Source organism: Homo sapiens, chromosome 5 (genome assembly GCF_000001405.40).
Source record: "Homo sapiens chromosome 5, GRCh38.p14 Primary Assembly".
NCBI classification, from domain to species: domain Eukaryota; kingdom Metazoa; phylum Chordata; class Mammalia; order Primates; family Hominidae; genus Homo; species Homo sapiens.
Genome location: NC_000005.10, coordinates 82292659 through 82308945, shown reverse-complemented (window position 1 = coordinate 82308945; position 16287 = coordinate 82292659). Strand labels below are relative to the sequence as shown.

Below are 16287 nucleotides of genomic sequence, written 5' to 3'. Positions count from 1 at the left end.
ACCATACGAAGTGTTAGTGAGAATGTGAAGCAACTGGAACTCTCATACAATGCTTGAGAAAAGGAAAAATGATGCGGCCACTTTAAAAAACAGTTTGGCTGTTTTCTAAAAAGGTAAACATACACATACCATATGATCCAGGCATTCTACTCCTAGTTGGAATGACAGTTAAGAGAAATGAAGATACCTGCTGCCACAAAGACTTGTACATGAATGTTCATAGTGACTGTACTTGGAAAGTTATGCAAAAAGTGAGGGAAAAAACAAATTTCTATCAACAGGTGAATAGATAAATAAGTTGTGGTACATCTATAATATGGACTACTACTCAGCAATGAAAAGGGAAATACCATTAACAGATGCAGTAACATGGAAGATTATCAAAATCATTAAGCTAAGTGACAGTGGCTACACTAAAAAAGAGTACACACATGTGATTATATAAAATTCTAGAACATGGAAACTAATTGATAATGATAGCAGATCAGTGGTTATCTGGAGATGTGACAGTGGTTGGAAAGACGCATTACAAAGAAACACACAGTAACTTTGGGGCATGATGAAAATATTTGTTGCCTTTTTTTTTTTTTTTTTTTTTTTTTTTTGAGACAGGGTCTTGTTCTGTCACACAGGCTCAGGGGCAGTGGCATAATCTCCACTCACTGCAACTTCCACCTCCCGGGCTCAAGCAATCCTCCCACCTCAGCCTCCTGTGTAGCTGGGACTACAGGCATGCACCACCACACCTGGCTAATTTTTGTATTTTTAGTAAAGACAGGGTTTCATCATGTTGGCCAGGCTGGTCCCTAACTCCTGACCTCTGGTGATCTGCCCATCTTGGCCTCCCAAAGTACTGGGATTACAGGTGTGAGCCACTGTGCTCAGCCATGAGGATCTTTAAGTATCAGGCACTGTGACATCAATTGGGAACACAAAGGAGAAATACAACCTGGAACAAGAGCTGCTCAAAAAGGAGCTCTTTTTACTCTTTCAAGTGTTCTACTCTCACACATGTAAAATGGATTCTGAATTCTTGAGGCTATAATTGCCTAAATTCCAAATACACACAGATGCTGGGATTATGCTGTATTTGCAGGGCTTTCACTATTTAAAAAGACTTCCGTAGCAAATCTGTCTGCCAACAATTTGCCTCTCTCTAAACATTTTGTTTCCAAGAGCTAAAACGTGGTCACCTTTTTTTAATCTGTGCTTTTGACCTTACATGGTTATGTCTTTGTTTCGGTTTGTTATTTCAGCAACTCCCATTCTCCTTCTTAAGATCTTAAGATTTCCTTGCCAGCACCACAAGGGCATCTGGCTCATCCATGCAATTCACAGGAATCAGCCACTAGGTCTCAGCAGCTGGTTCTTGACACCTCCCTTCCTGGAAGCCTCCTGTTGCTCCTCTTTGGGCAGGCTGTCCAGGATGCCTGCACACTCTGTGTGCAGGACTCCAGCAGGTGGACACTGCACACTCAGGGCTCACACCTGAATAGAATTCTAAGCAGTGACCAAAAAGACAGTCAGGTTCTGCCCAATCTTTCATTTGTGTCCTGTGAGACCCGAAGCTTACTGAAGAAATTAGACACTATTTCACTCTAGTTATCATTGGGATGTCAGGAAGGAAAATAATGCTACTACTATTAATACTTTGAACAGCACTTGACAAGATCTCAAAGTGCTTATGCATATATTTCCTCATGTGTTTTTCACAACCTTGTCAGATAGGGCCAAGAGGAAGAAGATAAATGGTCATTTTTAAAGATGTTTTCAACCCCAGCTCTATGAACATACATGCTCCATGACTTTAGCAAGTTTTCTAACCTCTGTGATAACTGCCTGTGACTCTAAGAGTTACTGTGAGGAATAACAGACATGTGCCTATGAAGACCTCACACCGTGCCTGGCCCACAGTAAATGCTCAAGGCCTCATAGCTATAATGAATAGATGCCATCATCTCCATTTGACAGATGATGATCCTACAGGTCCTGCCTGTAAAATCACAAAGCTCACTGGCAGAACTGGGCCTAGAAGCCAAGTTTTCATTCTTTCCGTCTCTAGGTTCCCAGTAACCACAAGATCTCTAAAACCCAGCAAAAAAAAAAGAAAAACCTGTAGGTGCCCGGGCATGGCAGCTCAAGCCTGTAATCCCAGCACTTTGAGAGAACGAGGTGGGCAGATCACCTGAGGTCAGGAGTTCGAGACCAGCCTGGCCAACATGATGAAACCCCATCTCTACTAAAAATACAAAAATCTAGTCAGGCGTGGTGGCACGTGCCTGTAATCCCAGCTACTCAGGAGGCTGAGGGAGGAGAATCGCTTGAACCTGGGAGGCAGAGGTTGCAGTGAGCTGAGATCATGCCATTGCACTCCAGCTTGGGCAACAAGAGTGAAACTCTGTCAAAAATAAAATAAAATGAAATAAAATAAATAAATAAACAAACAAACAACTGTAGGACCCTGATTTTCTCCCACAGATGCCCTAGGGTCAGGATAAATGGAATCAAGGAGAGCCAGTCAGCCATAGACAGGCAAGATTATCCCCAAGCAGGCAGCCTTTCTCCTTGCAACTGACCACAAATAAAGAGCCCTGTGGGGAATTAATTAGCACCCCAGGAAAAGGTTCTGAGCTCTCAGCCTCCCGTAGTCTCTTTGATAGCCTTGGATAGTTGAGCTATAACAGGATAAACAAATCTGAGAGGACTCTAAATGCTTCCACGTACATTTCCCTAAATCCCTATTAAAAGATTGTCATTCTGAACAGCAAGATACTAAGATTTGTAATATGACTTTCAATTGTATATTAATAGAATCCATTTTTACCCATTGTCAAGAATTTTTAAGTGAGAAGTAAAGTTCAGGAATAAAAGGATCTTTCCAGCTAAAGTACATAAAGTAGAAAAAGAATACACACAAACACACACACACACACACACACACACACACACACACACTGTTATGCTTTATATAAAGCATCCTACCCATCTAAGCCAAACCAGAACAAATGCAGAGAATCTTCCAAAAGGATCTATTTTACCAACAAATGTTGAAAGAAGGTTTATAGAAAGCAAGCAGGACATGCCAGATTTCCTCTCCCTGGACCAAAATAAATAAAAGCAAAAATTTTTGCTTGGATGACTGAAAAGCAGAGAAAGGCATTGGAAATTGATTTGCCCTTCAAACATGTTATTTGTTTAATCTGCTTATCTCAAATCAAAACTAATTATTCCAATCATTTTGAAATGTCCTTAAGAATTATCTGGAATTTAGCCATTAAAAAGTACCCTTGCGCATTTGCAAACAGGCAATATTCCACTATTTCTGCACACTGACACCCCCCGGCCCCCTACCTCCGCAGAGTCAAGCATTTGTCCTGGCTAGTGTGTCACCCACTAGAATGTGTATGACCCTGCTGGGATATGTGATCTCTTCCCTGATAGAATAAAAGTAGTTTGACACCTACCATTTGGAGTTGAGACCAAGCCTGGAATCCTTTGCTGTTTTCAAAACGAGTTTGAGAACCCTTGCTTTCCAAAGTCTCATTTTCTACAAGTTATTCCGACAATTAGCAAAAAGGTTCAGAAGAAAACTGCCGGGAAAATATAACAATTTTTTTTTTTTGAGATGGAGTCTCACTCACTCTGTCACCCAAGCTGGAGAGCAATGGCGCGATCTCAGCTCACCACAACCTCCACCTCCCAGGTTCAAGCAATTCTCCTGTCTCAGCCTCCTGAGTAGCTGGGATTACAGGCACCTGCCACCACGCCCGGCTAATTTTTGTATTTTAGTAGAGACGAGGTTTCACCATGTTGGCCAGGCTTGTCTCCAACTCCTGACCTCAGGTGATCCACTCCCTTGGCCTCCCGAAGTGCTGGGATTACAGGCGTGAGCCACCATGCCCAGCCAACAATTTTTGAAGTTAACTTCTGACTTGTTCCTTTATTTTAGACAGTAAATACTTCCTCAAAGATGTGTGTCAGGGTCCTATACAAAGGAGCCTACTTTTTTTTTCTGAAATGACAAAAAAAGTTGAATGCAGAGTTAACAGAACGCAATAGCCCTAGGGGCTTCCTCAAACTGAGAGATCAACTTACCTAGCACTTTCTTCACTGCAATTTGAGTTGTCAGGGTCCACAGTTACCTTCTGACCAAATGGCTCGTCTGTAAGGTCCAGCCAGGTTTGATTCTTAAATTTAATCATTATTCTTTTGGCCCAGAAGAGAATGCAAGGAATTCCATTGATGGAGACATTAACTGGGCCATGATGGCTGAATGCATTCCAAGGTTCTTTTTCTAAATGCCCTTCTTTGCTCAGATTGTAGTTGAGAGCCTAATTAACCAAATAAAAAGAACATAAGAGATGAATTTGTGTCTATGTTACAAAAGGCTTCCTAGAAATGAAAGAGCTAATTCACATCCTGTAACGATAAATACATGCCATTACACATTTATTAAAACCCACAAAATGTACAATACAAAGAAAGAAATTTGCACCAATTACTCTAGTGTAAATACAGATAAAAGAAAAATTAGTTAATAGAGAGCAGCAACTTAAGCTTATCAGTAACTAAAGATTATTATTATTATAGCAACAAAAGTGAAGCTGAATATTGTAATGAAAATATAAGAGAGCAAGTAAAATTAAGTATTTTAGGTTTTTCCCAACTATAAGATTCCATAATAAACAGAAAACCAAATACCACATGTTCTCACTTATAAGTGGGAGCTAAGCACTGAGTACACATGGACATAAATATGCAAACCATCAAAACTGTGGATGACTGGAGGATGGAGGGAGTGGAGTGGGTTAAAAAACCACCTATGGGATACTATACTCACTATCAGGGTGATGGGATTCATACCGCAAACTCCAGCATTATGCACTATTCTCACGTAACAAATCTGCACATGGACCCTCTGTATCCAAAATAAAAGTTGACTTTTAAAAAGAAGAGATTCCACAATATGTTTCCCCACCCAAATTTGAAGCAAAAATATGTTACTTATTAATACAATTATTATTTATATTTTCACAGAGCACAGACATGATTGAAATGTGTTTTTAAGTTTTTTAGAGCTAGATTACAATCTGGTTTCCTGACATAGCCATACCTGTGTGATTGGTATTGTTGTGAAATTCTGGAATGGTTTCATATCTCCATTATTCTGATCTGTCAAATAAATGATGATGTGGTTACCAAATGCTAAATGTCATTTATTAATGTAATTGGGAGCAATGCTAAGCACTGTCACATATATCAAGCTTGAGCCCCTTTTGGCTCATAATTTATGATGCACTAGTATAAAAGATTTCACATGAGTGACTCCTGGTACAGACACCACTGGTCAGGGAATTCTATCACAGAAAAAGCCCTTCTCCACCCCACAAGGAATCATGTGGGCAACTGGAGTCTTACCATTCCTCATAACCACTTCTTTATTTGAAGATGTTGGAGAACTGAAATTAGAAAAAAAAAAAAATTAAAAGATGCTGAATAAATATCCATAATTTAGATGTTACACGAAATTTTAAGAAGTATATTTCACTTTATTACATCTCAGAATAGAGGAGCAGAAACAGCCTGCCAAAACTGTTCATTTCTTAACAGTGAATTTCCCATTTAAACAGTAATATGTCTCTCCCCTGCTGTCTCTGCATTTAACAGAGAGAGAAAGTAACATATGTTCCTCAAAAAAGAAAATGAAAAATAAAGAAAAATTTTAGAAAGAAAAATTATTTTATTTATTTTTATTTTATTTTATTTTATTTGAGATGGAGTCTCACTCTGTCACCCAAGCTGGAGTCCAGTGGTGTGATCTCGGCTCCCTGCCACCTCTGCCTCCTGGGTTCAAGTGATTCTCCCGCCTCAACCTCCTGAGTAGCCGGGATTACAGGCATGCACCACCACACCCTATTAATTCTTGTATTTTTTGTAGAGATGGGGTTTCACCATGTTGGCCAGGCTGCTCTTGAACTCCTGACCTCAGGTGATCCACCCACCTCAGCCTCCCCAAGTGCTGCAATTACAGGTGTGAGCCATCATGCCCAGCCAGAAAAATTATTTTAAATCAAACCTGATTCTTATTCATTGAATGATATTATGGGGGGGCCTACTATGTGCCAAGCAATGTGCTACACGCTAAGGTTTAACCAATAACAAATATAAAATAACAAAGTAATAAAGCATATAAAACATTTTACAGTGAAATTTTATACTACATTGCATTGTTAACCTATCAAAGCCAAAACATCCAGCCTTTCAAAAAAAAGACTGACTCAATTACCAAAAAGTTATATTGGAAACTTATGAGCATATAAATTATTATATATATCCTTGAGTTTGTGTGTGTATATATCCTCTCTATATGCATACAAACACAAACACACACACACAGCACATATGTATATAATTTACTTTTTACAGTTTAAAAATGGATTTTTGTGGGCATACTGTTTTAGAGTTTGCAATTTTTTATTAAAACTATATCACAAATATTTTCCATGTAATTATATACTTTTGACACATTTTAATGTATGTGGTATTATATCATTAAAATGTATCATAATATATTTAACCAAATTTCTACTCTTAAGTATTTGTTTTCAATTTTATTAGCATTATAACAATACTGCATTGAACATTACTGTGGATTGTTTGTTCACACCCATGAGAAGTTCCTTAAGATAAATTCCTTGAGGTGAAATTTCTAAGTTAGAAGATATACACATTTTTTATTACAGGATATTTCAAACATACACAAATATAAACAGAAAAATATAATAAGCCCCCATGTACCTGGACCCATCATTCAGCTTTAGTAATTATCAGGTTATAACCAATCTTGTTTCACCTACAAGCACACCCTCTTCCCCCGTGTGATATTAGTTTGAATAAAATATCAAAAATTATATCATTTCAGTATATATCTCTAAAAGATAATAACTTTTAAAAATAACAGCACAATTACATCTAGAAAATACTGATAATTATTTAACATAAAATTAGTGTTTAAATCTCCAGTTTTGTCATACATGTCCTAAGGATTTAACAGTTTGTTTATTGCATATTTTAGGTTTTCCATAAGTTTTACCTACAGTATATGAGAATGCAAAGCAAACTCTATACTTAACAATTCCTGTGATATAAGGTCTCTATATGTCACTATCATATAAACTCAACATTTTTATAATTAGAGAAAGATATATATTACATGATATGTATACAAAACATAATTGTAGCTGAAGAGTTACTAAATCTGTATCATAGTAAAGTGCTTTAGAATTAATTATATGGAACCAATTACAAATTAAATGCACCATTCTCTCTGTAATATGATCCCTGTTATCTAATAAGAATTTCTGAAGATGACAAATTGGTGACCATGATGTCTACTAGTTGCTATTAATAAATTTATGCATGCATGCAATTCATTTTCATCAACTTTATTGAGGTATATAATTTATGTACAGTAAATTGCATTCATGCAAATTATACAATTATATGAGTTTTGGCACAGGCACATACCCATGACACCACTGCCATAATAACAATACAGAATACTTACAACACCCAAAAGAGTTTCCGCTTGCATTTCTGCAGCTGAGTTGTTCCCTCCACCCTCAACCCCAGGCAACTACAGACCTGCTTCTGTCACTTTAGATTAGTTAGCATTTTCTTTTTTCTTTTTTCTTTTTTGAGATGGAGTTTTGCTCTTGCTGCCCAGGCTGGAGTGCAATGGCGTGATCTCGGCTCACCACAACCTCCACCTCCTGGGTTCAAGCGATTCTCCTGCCTCAGCCTCCCAAGTAGCTGGGATTAAAGGCATGCACCACCACGCCCGGCTAATTTTGTGTTTTTTAGTAGAGACAGGGTTTCTCCATGTTGATCAGGCTGGTCTCAAACTCTCGACCTCAGGTGATCCGCCCGCTTCGGCCTCCCAAAATGCTGGGATTACAGGTGTGAGCCACCACACCCAGCCTAGTTAGCATTTTCTACAATTGCGTATAAATGGAATCATACATATTCCTTAGCATTTGGCTTCTTTCTGTCTCATCGTAATGACTTTAAAATTCATGCCTGTTGTTGCATATGTCAGTAGTTCATTCTGCTTTAGTGTTAAGAAATATTTCATTGTATGGATATGCCATACTTTATCTGTCTGTGCACACAGTCATGAATATTTGGGGTGATTCTGGTTTGGAGCTACTATAAATAAAGATTTAAGAACATTAATGTATAGGAGTTTGTGTGAATATGTTTTTGTTTCTCTTGAATAAATAAACAGGAATAGAATGACCAAGTCACATAATAGAAGTAACTTTTTTAGAAAAGCTGTCAATCAATTTTGCTTCCCTGTTGTTCAACATTCTTGCTGACATTTGGTATCATCAATCTATTTAATTTTAACCATTCCAATGGGTGTGGGTTGCTAGCTAAGTTTAATTTTATTTTATTTTATTTTTTTATTATTATTATAAAGTTTTAGGGTACATGTGCACAATGTGCAAATTACATATGCATACATGTGCCATGCTGGTGTGCTGCACCCATTAACTTGTCATTTAGCATTAGGTATATCTCCTAATGCTATCCCTCCCCCCTCCCCCCACCCCACAACAGTCCCCAGAGTGTGATGTTCCCCTTCCTGTGTCCATGTGTTCTCACTGTTCAATTCCCACCTATGAGTGAGAATATGCGGTGTTTGGTTTTTTGTTCTTGTGATAGTTTACTGAGAATGATGATTTCCAATTTCATCCATGTCCCTACAAAGGACATGAACTCATCATTTTTTATGGCTGCATAGTATTCCATGGTGTATACGTGCCACATTTTCTCTAAGTTTAATTTTAATATCCATTTCTCTGATGATTAATGATGCTAAGCATCTTTTCTTATGCCTATAGAGCATTCATATAGTTTCTTTTGTGAAGTGTGCTTAAATCTTTAGCTCATTTTAAAAATTAAATTCATTGACCTCCATAAGTGCTCTTTATATGTTCTGGATGCAAGTCCTGTGTCAGAGATACACACCGGAAATATTTTATTGCATTCTGTCTTCCTTTTTCATTTTCTTAATGGTGTTTTTTCAAAGATCAATAGTTCTAATTTTCATAAAGTCCAATGTATTCTTTTTCTCTGTTATGGCCTATGTTTTTGTGTCTAAAAGAAATATTTGCTCAACAAGGTCACCAAGATTTTCTCTTGTGTTTCTCCTAGTTTTTAAATTTTAACTTTTACACTTAGGTCTGTGATCCATTTTGAGTTCATTTTTGTGAGCTAAGGTACTTGTATCATTTTGGAGCTAAGGATAAAGAAAATGTCCTATTAAGCTTGCAGAAGTAAAAAACAAGAATCATGCAAGGATTCAGCCAATGCACCTCTCTCACCCCTTCACAGAAGCTAATGGAGGACATGCTCCCACAACGTAAGGGCAAAAGCCAACAAAGAGAAAGCACAGGCTCTCATAAACAGCAGATCTCACTAGAAGAGTGGTGAAGCAAAACCTAAGACTACCCATTGTACATCAGACATAGAATCAATCCAGATTGGAGCAAGAGGACAATAAAAGGAAGACCTACAGAGAGATCTCTAAGTGAAAGGGGAATTTGAGAGACCACTATATATTAGAGGAAAGAATATGTGAAAAGAATTAAGACTATGCATGTTTTGAAATTGCAACTACAAAAAGGCCATTTTTAACTCAAGGGAAAAAGAAACGTTGCACAAAAAAAAAAAAAAAAAAAAAAAGAAAGAAAGAAACAAAATTACACTCTACTAACTAGCTTGTCTGTGAACAATATACATAGTCATATTGACGCAAGCACTGATGAACTGAAAGTAGTAATGTAACTATATTGGAGGGATGGGGGGTGGAGGAAAGAAAGATGAGGACATTGAAGACAGGAACTTTGTCAATAATAAAGGAACTTGTTATAAAATCTAACATGTATAAATGGAGAAATCACCTATGCATATTATTTTGATATTATGGCAGTATGGTGAATTGTATGATTGTTACCCAGTCTTTGTTTCCTTCTCTGGGAGAGGATTTTGCATCCCCCTAGGGCATATGACTTGCAGTTCCTCCCTGTGGGTGGAAAATACTTCCTGCCCCATCATCAGGCTTAGCTATTATATGAACAGCAGACGAGGAAATACTGGATAGAAGGGGGCAGTTCCTGGCAAAGGCCCCACCCTTAAGCCTGGAAACCCACGGCCCTAAATGGGAACAGGCATTCCTGTTTCTGCACCCCAATGTTGCCTTTTGGCCCACCAGGGCCCCCTATCCAGTACCCATATAAACCCCAAACCCCAGGCTCCACAAGCAGATGAGCAGATGAACAGGTGAACAGAAGAGCAGCAGAACAGCATGACAGAGAAGAGAGACGAGAAGCAGCATCTGAACATCTAGAGGAGTTTGGCTGGGGACAGTCAGAGAGGAGATCAGCTGCTGAACAGCCAAACTCCAGGGGAAGATCATCCCCCAATCCATCACCCTTCCAGCTCCCCATCCAGCCTGCTGAAAGCCACCTCCACCACTCAGTATAACCCCCACATTCACCATCCTTCCAGCCCTGTGTGACCTGATTCTTCCTGGATGCCAAACAAAAACCCGGGGTCCAAGAGGGCACTAAGCTGGTTAACACTTAAGCTGTCTGAAGATGGCAGAGCTAAAAGAGCACTGTAGCACACCCACTGGGGCTTTGAGAGTCACAGGAACCCAAGCCTAGATGCTACCATGAGGCCAGAACCCAAAATCACTTGCCCTGGTTCCTGCACCTGCCCATCTGCATGCTCCCCTTCTTGTAAAAGGTTTGAGCACATGTGGCAGTGGCCAAACAGATGCACCACACCCCTGTTGCATGTCCTGCAAGGGGGGTCACGGAACTCTCCAGTTTCAGCTATACATCTTAATTAGACCAATGGAATATGGGCAGAAGCAACAGTGTGGCAGTTCTGCAGAAGTTGCGAGTGTCTGCATGTGCCTGCCATCTCTTGCCCCACTCCCTCTGTCATAAGAATGGCATGCCCAAATAGGGGCTGCTCTTTCAGTCTGGGACTTGGAATGAGAAGTGGAAACAGAGCTAAAGCAGGGTCACAGCAGCCCGCCTGTAGCTGTCAGAAGTAAGAGGAGCAAGAAAGAAATGTTTGAGGCTGCAAACTTCTGCAATGTAGGGGTTGTTTTGTTTCTAGAAAAAAGGTGACTAATACAAGCAGTGGCCAACAGAAGAAACAACTAAAAATTTGAAAATGTTTGCCTATAGAAGTAACTAGAAGACAATTTTTCCTTTAATGTGTCTTGTCACCTTTTGATTTTTTGAAACCATGTACATGTATTACTTTGATAAATTTTTCTATTTTAATTTTTTAAAAAGATGTCTTCCTTTAGAAATTTATAAATTAGCATTACGGTTTATATTAAGTCTCTTGTGAGTACAAGTTTAATTTCCTGAGCAACAAAAGTGAGGTTCCCATCCAAGTAATAATGAAATTATAATAGAGATATGCTTTAGCCAAATCATCTAACCTACCTAAACTCCAGACTTTGTAGTACAGGTTAAAACGTAACTGAATACAATATATGAAAGAGGCACGAATACCCAGACATTACCCAGGCAGACTTCGGCCTGCCAGCTGTGCTTGCCTTATTTCACCTCTTCCCTTCTCTCTCTGCTTCCGCTACTCTAGCATTATTCAGTTCCTTGAACACTTCATGGTCCATTTTTCCCTTAGCACCTGCTGGTCCCTCCACCTGGAATGTTCTCCATCCTCCTAGTTATTTTCTACATCTCCTCCAGATGATGGCGTAAGTGTCACTTCCTCAGGAACACAATCCCTAACTTGTGCAAGTTCCAATCCCCCTGTTGTATGTGCTCATTGCTTCCTATACTTTTCTTTCACAACACATTTCAAAGTTTATTTGGAATAATATATATCATTTGATTAACAAGGGCTTCCCTATTAGACTTAGTCCGTGAGGCCAGGGACTATCCCTGTTGTGCTCACCATTGTAGACCCAGCATCTAGCATGGGGCCTTGCTACTTAAAAGCACCAATTATTTTTAAAATGTGTTGCATGCACAAATGAACTAAGAAATTGATGAAAATACTCTGAAATCAAAGTGGAAAATGGGAGGTCACACAGGATTTCTTTTTGGATCAAGAATAAACCCAACTTGAGGAAGAAATGTGCAAAGTGAGAATAATGACCCCTACTCACTCTATGTTTAGAAACCGTGTATCGAGCTTAAACTACAATCCTCCTTCCTACAGACAGAATATTGAATAGCCCCAGGGAGTTGAAAGATATTTTAAATTTCAGATCCATTATTTGAAAGAACACACAAAACAACAACTGTTGTTTCCTTCATAATGAATTAATGAGCCATAATATTAGATTCAAATGATCATTGACTTATGTGATTTCTAAGATCTAAAGCTTCTGAAGCTAAAATTAAGCCCATTAACTTTGTCTTAAAAACAGAACTAGGATTTTTCTAATTCTTGGTGTACATTTTACTAGTGTAATACACAAATCAGGCATTTCTGTGTAACCCAGGTGGGGAAACAGAACTAGGCTTTAACCACTAAAGAATAGAAGTCACTATTCAAAAGTGAACCTGCAGGAAAGCACCAATTGACTCAGAAACAATGGAAGAAAAAAATTGTTAATGTCTATATGTATAGATTTTATCAGTTGTGGACTAAGGAGTCTTTAACCCGAGTTTTGCCATATTCTCCTGCTTGCTGCTGTCTGCTATGTTCACACTAAATTCCCTGAAGCATTTGTTGAGATGGCACACAATGAGTCAGTGGGGGACATGACATACCTTAATTGCTATTCAGATTTTGAATATTCTTTTTTATAGAAAAACCTCTAAGTGTTCCTTATATGACGTATAAAGAAGCCAAAGGGACAACAGAAATAGAAACAGGAATTTAATTGCCATCTCTTAACAGTTAAAACAATTTAACACCTTTTCTTTGAAGGACAGGATATATATTTCTGAGGTTTTCAATTTTTTTCTTACTCTTTTCTCACATAATAATGGCAGGGGATACTGTGGAATTAACATTCACTTGTAAGTATAAAAGAAATCTGAAAACTGATTTGAGGAGTCATTTTCTCACAGATAAATACTTTGATACATACTACAAAAGTTTCTTGGATATTTTGAACAAGTAACCCTTGCCTCTTATAAAAAAGCTTATATTTTTACCTCAAGCATAAACTCTGGTCAATAATTTTTGTAGCTACCTGTATGATCTAGCCTATTCATTTTGAATCACAAGTAAATGTCGATATGAAACAACATAAAGAAATCACAGAGCCACCTAATTTCATACTTGCATTTAAGTTCACAAACACATTGCTTTAAAAGATGTGCAGTTACTCACCTTACATTCTTCCTGGCAAATATATGGTCCAAGGTTAGTGAAAGTCCTATACCTAAAAAAATCAGTGAAAAACTAAACAAGATTTTTTTTTCCCATCAAGAAAAGAATCAGTTTCTTCAAAGCAAGCAAATCTGTTAATTCATAAATGCAAACAGAGCAGAGGCAGTACTTTTCATGCCATGTGACTGACAGCATATTTAACCAATAACAGGGCAGCTTTCTCAGAATGTATTCCATGGTGAGGGGAGGAAGGGAGGGGTCTGATAATGCTGAGAGTATAGAGTGAAACAAATATTTAGGTTTTTAATTATTCATCTCATGGAAAGATTATTAAGGAGCCAATTTTTAAAGAAAATATATTTGCCACTTAAGCTCATTTTAGAAATTTGCATTGTTTTGATACTGTCATGTAACTCTTAAGACTCTTTATTTTATATACTTCATACTACATATATGTCATACTATTATATATTTCATACTACACTTCAGGAAGCTATTAATTTCTCCCCAAAATCTATGAAGTATATATTTTTACATATATTTTTCAAGTGAATAAATAAAAATCTCGGGAACTTCCCTAAAGTTACATATATGTCCTAGTTCACAGTTTCCTGTTGAATTCATAAGGCTCCATTTGCCAAGAGGTGTGGATAGCAATGGTGAGGAGCACTGGCTTTGGAGTCAGAAGCTGAAGTGCCTGGCCAGCTGCTTACCAGTGAGCAAGCTGACACCAGGCAGGTTATTTTCCCTCTAGAGCCTTGTTTCCTCATCTGCAGAGTGGGGACAGGCACACTTAATTGTTGTGAAGATTAAATGGGATCATGGATGAAAGGCTTTTTTTTTTTTTTTTTTTTTTTTTTTTTTTTAAGCCAGTCTCGCTCTGTCAGGCTGGAGTGCAGTGGCGCGATCTCGGCTCACTGCAATCTCAACCTCCTGAGTTCAAGTGATTCTCTTGCCTCAACCTCCCGAGTAGCTGGGATTACAGGCATGCACCACCACGCCCAGTTAATTTTTGTATTTTTAGTAGAGATGGGGTTTCGCCATGTTGGCCAGGCTGGTCACGTACTACTGACCTCAGGTGGTCTGCCCGCCTCGGCCCCGCAGAATGCTGGGATTACAGGCGTGAGCCACGACCGCGCCAGGCCATGAAAGCCTCTTCTTAACTCAGTGCTTAGCTAAATAGAGTGCCTATTGTTATTCCTTCCCTGCTGGCCTCTCCTTTCACCTCACTCCCCTAAAAAGCCTGAAAAACAAAACAAACGACAAAATTCCTAAGAGTTGTTTTACATTTTTTAAAAATACAATTAAAATGCCACAATAAAGAAAATCCTCCAAAACGAAAGTGTCAAGTGCCACCATTTGGGGGCACTTAGGAACCTTGATGGCTTAAAGACAAAGTACTGGTAGCGGAAAAGGGCTATTTGTAAGTAAAATTTCAGAGATGATAGACTATAGGAAAGCTGGGGTCTTGGCGCTGAGCAGACATTCCTATTCCTCTCACACACCACTTTCTTCCAACATAGTTCAGGGGACCCCAACGGAAAATAAGAAGAGGAGAATAAAGCAGAATGACTAGAGGAAGTGGGAGAATGCAGGAATAAGGAAGAAAGTTGCTAACAAAAATTGTAAAATAAAAAGGGTCGCTGGCCTTAAATGTGGCCTTTCCGTGCCCCATCTAATTCCTACTGCCTCCTCATACTCCCTTTTCTTCTCCGTTTTCATTTCCCCCAGCTTCTACTCTTCACCTCTCCTTTTCTCTTTCTGTTCTTTTCCTGATTCTGTGGAATTTCAAGTAACAAGCAGGTCTGGATAAGAGAAGTTTAGTTTTAGGTAATGTTGACAGATAACCTATAGGATAACCTGTTAAAGTGGAATGTCAGAAACATAACAAATGATTTTAATATAAGTATGTTCCATGCAATATTTGGGACATACTATATTTAAAATGTATTAATTGTTTATTTGAAAATTAAGTTTAACTGGGCATCTTATATTTTTAGTTTGCTAAACCAGCCAGTCCTAGTCTTAGGGAAGCTCAGCTACTCAAAGTGTAAAGTGCATACAAATCACATGAGATTCCGTTAAAATGCAAATTTTGACCCAGTAGGTCTGGAGTGGGGTGTAGGATACCACATTCCTAACCAGCTCCCAGATGATGATGATGGTGATGCTGCTTGCCTGAGAACCGCCCTTTGAGTAGCAAGGATCTAGAACAGCATTGTTCAATAGAAATAGAATGAGAGCTACATATGGAATTTAAAATTTTCTAGTCACATTAAAAAGAAGTAAAAATAAACAGGTGAAACTAATTTTAACAGTATTTTTATTTAACCTGTCTAAAATACTATCATTTCAAACATACTCAATTTTAAGGATTATTAGTGAAACATTTTATGTTCTTTTTCTGCCCTAAATCTGAACTCTAGCGTATAATTTTAAAAATTTATTTATTTCTATATTTTGTAGAGATGGGGGTCTTGTTATGTTACCTAGGCCGGTCTCAAACTCCTGGGCTCCAGCAGCCCTCCTGCCTCAGCCTCCAAAAGTGCTGGAATTACAGGCATGAGCCACCATGCTACTTATATCTCAATTCAAACAAGCCAAATTTGAAGCGTTCAGTGGACACTTGTGGCTAGTGCCCCCTGTATTGGACAGGCAAGATACAGAACATCTCCTGCAGCTGCCAGAGCAGTACTTGGTATTCTCTTATGGGAGCAGTGGCAGTGCCTACTCCTCAAGGCCCTGGTCAGGAGAAAGTGAGAGCCCAAGCCAATGATGATCCTGCATTGTGACAATAATGGTTCTGTGAACCCTGAGAAAGGACAGTGTTAGTCCCTTACTAGTTATTACATAATAATCTTTCGGCTGGGCACAGTGGCTCACGCC

General features: G+C 38.6%; 1 pseudogene across 20 annotated transcripts in view, besides 2 other annotated features; it reads right to left on the bottom strand.

The window, feature by feature from the left end:
• Positions 1-16287, bottom strand: part of ATP6AP1L (ATPase H+ transporting accessory protein 1 like (pseudogene)) — a 40157-nt pseudogene that overhangs the window by 9861 nt on the left and 14009 nt on the right. For 3 of the 20 annotated variants that reach the window (NR_172119.1, NR_172109.1, NR_172116.1), the window contains 5 exons: positions 13402-13453; positions 5419-5459; positions 5114-5172; positions 4841-4918; positions 4096-4331 (listed from right to left, as the gene is read on the bottom strand). The product of NR_172119.1 is annotated as an ATPase H+ transporting accessory protein 1 like (pseudogene), transcript variant 14 (transcript). Of the gene's footprint in view, positions 1-3464; positions 4013-4095; positions 4332-4840; positions 4919-5113; positions 5173-5418; positions 5460-13401; positions 13454-14474; positions 14645-16287 lie in introns of all 20 variants that reach the window. The other 17 variants (NR_172113.1, NR_169868.1, NR_172112.1 and 14 more) reach the window with 14 other exon arrangements.
• Positions 13842-14644: an enhancer, noted in NCBI's record as "OCT4-NANOG-H3K27ac hESC enhancer chr5:81590121-81590923 (GRCh37/hg19 assembly coordinates)". NCBI's record gives its function as "activates a minimal SCP1, AML or CMV promoter by ChIP-STARR-seq in naive and primed H9 embryonic stem cells {active_cell/tissue: H9 hESC(naive and primed)}" and the evidence as "EXISTENCE:reporter gene assay evidence [ECO:0000049][PMID:30033119]".
• Positions 14645-15447: an enhancer, noted in NCBI's record as "OCT4-NANOG-H3K27ac hESC enhancer chr5:81589318-81590120 (GRCh37/hg19 assembly coordinates)". NCBI's record gives its function as "activates a minimal SCP1, AML or CMV promoter by ChIP-STARR-seq in primed H9 embryonic stem cells {active_cell/tissue: H9 hESC(primed)}" and the evidence as "EXISTENCE:reporter gene assay evidence [ECO:0000049][PMID:30033119]".